Source organism: Homo sapiens, chromosome 14 (assembly GCF_000001405.40).
Source record: "Homo sapiens chromosome 14, GRCh38.p14 Primary Assembly".
Classification (NCBI taxonomy): Eukaryota; Metazoa; Chordata; class Mammalia; order Primates; family Hominidae; genus Homo; species Homo sapiens.
In genome coordinates this window covers 53,008,065-53,012,986 of record NC_000014.9, presented here as the reverse complement: position 1 = coordinate 53,012,986, position 4,922 = coordinate 53,008,065, and the positions used below count along the sequence as shown (strand labels likewise).

The window sequence follows — 4,922 nt, the reverse complement described above, 5'->3', positions numbered from 1 at the left end:
AAATAAATATGAAAGTTGAGGAGAGGGGAATGTGAGGAGAGGAAGTAGGATAATCCTCTTTTTTTGTGGAAGTCAATCAATGTATAAAATTGAAATGTGTGGTTCACAAAAAAAAGCATCATTACTTCCGAAATTTCTTAATTTTACAAAGAACTTTTAAGAGCTAATATTTGTTATACAGAAAAAAAGATATTTGAAATCTAGCCTATGTAACAAACCTGCACGTTCTGCACATGTATCCCCATACTCAAATAAAAATTTAAAAAAAGAAATGTAGCAATTTTTTTCTCTTTCCACTTCACTTCATATTTTGTTTTCTGTTCAATCCAAGTTGTTTTCTCCTATGAAATCCAAGTAAAACTATATTGAATATTGTCTGATGGCAAAGGAGCCTTAACATGTGACGATGTTGCACCCATGGGGTTAGAGAAATGTAGGTGAATATGAAATGCTGTTGACCCCCCCTTCTGCATTTATTTCATTGTTTTCCTATCTATTAAGCCATTGGCTTCAAATTATGCTTTACAGGGGTATGTAGGTTTGCCAAAACTCATAAAATTATACACCAAAAATGAGTGGGGTTTTTTTGCATATACATTATTTTACTTTATTAAATCTTACTAATATTCTTTAAGGGACAAGCCAGACAAGTAGGCTACAGTGAAGAAATCTTATTCTGAAGAGTTAAGAAACCACTATGGTACTTCCAGGTATTATCCTCAGTGATGCTTCTTATCTTTATTCAGGGACTCCAGATAATATTCAGCTCCTACAGCTCCCACAAATGCAGCAAATCCCCACTTGAATCCTTTTAATAATGCACCAATAAAGGAACCACTATTTGCAAAGCCACCCATGTATCTCCAAGCTTCACCTTGACCCCATGGATCCCTTAGCCCTTGCGCAGCCAACTTCTTCTTGACAGTTTCTAATGGTGTCCCTTCTATCTTCCATTGTTTATAATCTGGAAGTTCCATTTTACTACGTCCATGTTCATGAGCCATGTCTGACGGCATTCTGACCTCTCAGGACACTCAACTCTGCAACCGGAGCCAACCCGGGTGTGTTTTCTTATATGTAAGTTTACATCGATAAAGTTTATTTAAAAGGTTTTTAAAATTATGCCCAATTGGAGTCTTTATAGAGGATCAGGAAAGAAGTGAAGGTGAGAAGGCACAGCTTACCCTCCCCCATCTCCATTGAATTAACAATGGACAGCAAGACACTAATTTCTTTTACCTAAAGACCTTCAACATAGGGTCTCATAGCTTTAAGGGTCAGGGAAGAACACAGCTGTCATAAGAGTAGATGTCAATTGACCTGAATATAAACATAAATTGTGTACAGCTGAAGGTGGTGAGGAGGCAGAACAAGCTGACAAAATCATTCCAGTGACGTAAAGGTAAACTAACACTTGAGACGAACAATACTTCTAGATGACACCCCCATTTCTGCTTTCCAGAGTGGCTTTAACCCAGTCCTTCATGGACACATGGAGATGGTCTCCAGATGGGGTGTGGTGCCTCTGGGTCTGTGAATGGAACCTCATGGGGGCTGGGACAACCCACAGTTGACTCAGCTTCCACGGAGGCGTCCCCTAGCTCTGCTCCAGTTACAAGCAGGCCCAAGCGAGGGAGTGGCTGGCTGGGGTTCTTCCAGCACAAAACCTTTTCAGTTTTCCTAACAATTTCCCGCCTCATGTCTGCAATGTTTTGGCAGCTGCAGGGCCTCTTTTTCTCCTCCCTTTCAACTTGCATGGTTCTTTGAGCCACAAGGGAGACCCAAAACCCTGAAGAACATCCCGGAATGCAAAGCATTTGCAATGAGTCACAGCTGCAGAGGTGCCAGGCTTAAGAGCTGTTCCAGGCTTAAGTAAGACAGGGAAGCGGGGAGAGAGGTCAGGGTTCTCAGCTGCAGAGTTTACGTCAAAGGCTGGACCCAGGAAAGAGGAGCAGCAGCACTGGCTGGAACAAGGAAAGAAAACAATGAGAAATAGATGCATGGGGACCACTCCTCTGAAGTTTCCCCACCTGCTTTACATGGGGCTGTCAGCCCTACCAGCCATTCTCTAAATTCTAAAAATTCTCACAGGAATAAGAACTTTCTGGATGACAGAGGAGTGTAAGTTGGCATTTGGAAAATGATCCCTGACAGTCTTCTAACCAACAATCATAAAGGGCTGAGCCCACTGAGCTTTGCAACACACTATTTTAAGCTGTACTTTAAAAATGCAGTGGGCGTTCTCTTCTTTTGCTCCCACAGAGGGGCATTCACTGGCTCTTTCTTGCCTAAAAAACACGCCTCCCTTTTAAGTCCTGGAGAGAGCCTTTGGGTGTCAAAACATTGCTTCCTTTTCATTTTTGTATTAACAATAGTGAATAGAGAATATATTCATAATATTCACCCAAAATATTCAAAAAACTATAAAATAAGAAGTGTCTAACTTCTGTTTTCCCCAGCCACCTAGTTCTTCCTGGAAGCAAGTTTCTTGTGTATTTTCCCAGAAATATTCTTTGCATATATAAGCACGTCTGGTATATGTAATTGTTTTTGTACAAATGGCATACATTACACAATATTCTCTTTGTTTTTCTAAACAACCTTGAAAACTGCTTCATGTCAGTACAAACAGAACTGCCTTATTTGTTCATTTTCACTAGATAAACAGTACCCTGTTTATATACATGTTGGTTATTTTCCATCTTTCCCTATTACAAACTGTGCTTCAGTGACAATCTTTTAAAATATATCATGTGTGGGTAAAATTTCTAGAGGTGAGATTTCTATGTCAAATTTGGATACTTTGATAGATATTTCGTCAAATTGCCCTTCATGGAGATTGTACCAATTTATACGCACAGGTATGAGAGTACCTGTTTCCGGTCCAGTGTGGCGGCTCACGCCTGTCATCCCAGCACTTTGGGAGGCTGAGGCAGGCAGATCGCCTGAAGTCAGGTTCGAAACCAATCTGGCTATGGTGAAAACTTGTCTCTACTAATACAAAAAAAAAAAAATTAGCCGGGTGTGGTGGCATGCACCTGTAGTGCCAGCTACTCTGGAGGCTGAGGCAGGAGAATCACTTGAACCTGGGAGGTGGAGGTTGCAGTGAGCCGAGATCACACCACTGCACTCCAACCTAGGTGAGAGAGTGAGACTGTGTCTCAAAAAAAAGAAAAAGAGAGGGCCTGTTTCCCCATCCCTTAGCACAGAATATTCCAACTTTTTTACCAATCCCAATTGATAGGTTAAAAAATAATACCTTATCATTTTAATTTGGTTTCATCTTTATCCAATGTCAAGCATCTTTGCCTATGTTTGAGAGCCACTTGCATGTTCTGTTCTGTGAACCATGTTCTCTGCCTGTTTTCTATCACATTGCTGTTTGTTTTGACTTGTTGAACTCTACATATCAGGGGAAATCACGTTTTGTCAATGTACATGTAGGACGGTTTTTCCCCAGTTTGTTTCTTCTTCCCTCCATACTTCTACTGTTTGTTTTATACAGAATTCTAGTTTTATGTTTTTGAACTTACCTTTTCATTTTTGGCCTCTAGAAAGTTTATCATTTAGATAGTATTTCCCTTGAAATTATGAAAAATTCTCGCGATATATTCAACTCAAAGATTTATTATTTTGTGCTCAGCATTTATATCTGTGATCCAGCCAGAATTTATTGTAGTGATGAGATAAGTAGGGCTCCACTGATATCTTTTTCCAGCTGGCTCTCTGGTAGATTCAACACCATTTATTGGGCCAGGAATTCAGGCACAGGTGAGCAGGATCCTCTGTTTTAGGGTCTTTCACAAAACTGCAATGACAGTGTCAGCCAAGCCTGGGGTTTCACTGAAGGCTCAACTGGAGAAGGACTTGCCTTCAAGTTCACATGGTTGTTGGCAGGATTCAGTTCATTGTTGCTTGTCAGGTGGAGGAGCTCAGCTCCTTCCTAGCCTTCTCTCAGAGGGCACCTTAAGTTTCTTGCCACATGGGCCTCTCCACATTGGCAGTTTACTTCATCAAAGCCAGCAGGGGCAAAATCAATTGAGTCTACTGGCAAGATGGAAGTTACGGTCTTACCTAAAGTAATCACAGAAGTGACATTCCATCTCCTATACCATATTCTATTGGTAGAAGCAAGCCACAGCAAGCTCCTCAAGGAGAGGAGATTATACAAGGTGAGAATGCTAGGAGAGGGGTATATCAGTCTATTCTCACACTGCTGTAAAGAACTTCCCTGAGACTGGGTAATTTATAAAGGAAAGAGGTTTAATTGGCTCACAGTTCCATATGGCTGAGGAGGCCTCAGGAAACTTACAATCGTGATGGAAGGCAAAAGGCAAGCAAGCACCTTCTTCACAAGGTGGCAGGAGAGAGAGAAGGGGGGAAAGCCCCTTATAAAACCATCAGATCTCATGAGAACTCACTCACTATCACGAGAACAGCATGGGGGAAACCACCCCCATGATCCAATCACCTTCCACCCAGTCCTTCCCTCAACACCTGGGGATTACAATTCGAGATGAGATTTGGGTGGGGACACCGAGCCTAACCATATCAGTGGGGCTCACTGGGAGCCATGTAGCCTGTCTGCCATAATCCACACTCTGGCCCCCAGTGATCCATGTCCTTCCCATGTGCAAAATACATCTACCCCATCTCAAGTCCTCCAAAAGTCTCATTCCATTACAGAGTCACTTTGAAGGCCAAAATCTCATTATCTAAATCAGGCCCAGGTGTACAGATGAGGCTCCTCAGGTGTAACTCATTAAGTCCAGCTCCTGGAGCACAATTCCCCTTCATCTGCGGACTTGCAAAACTATGAAATGGAAAAAAAAAATGAAACAAGTTGTCTGCCTCACACACACAATGTACAATGGTGGGACAGGAGAAGGATAGCAGCTAGAGGCATTCCTATTCAAAAAGGA

General features: G+C 41.8%; 1 pseudogene; it reads right to left on the bottom strand.

Moving 5' to 3' along the window:
• On the bottom strand, window positions 586-1,058 carry NDUFB3P3 (NADH:ubiquinone oxidoreductase subunit B3 pseudogene 3; annotated as a pseudogene).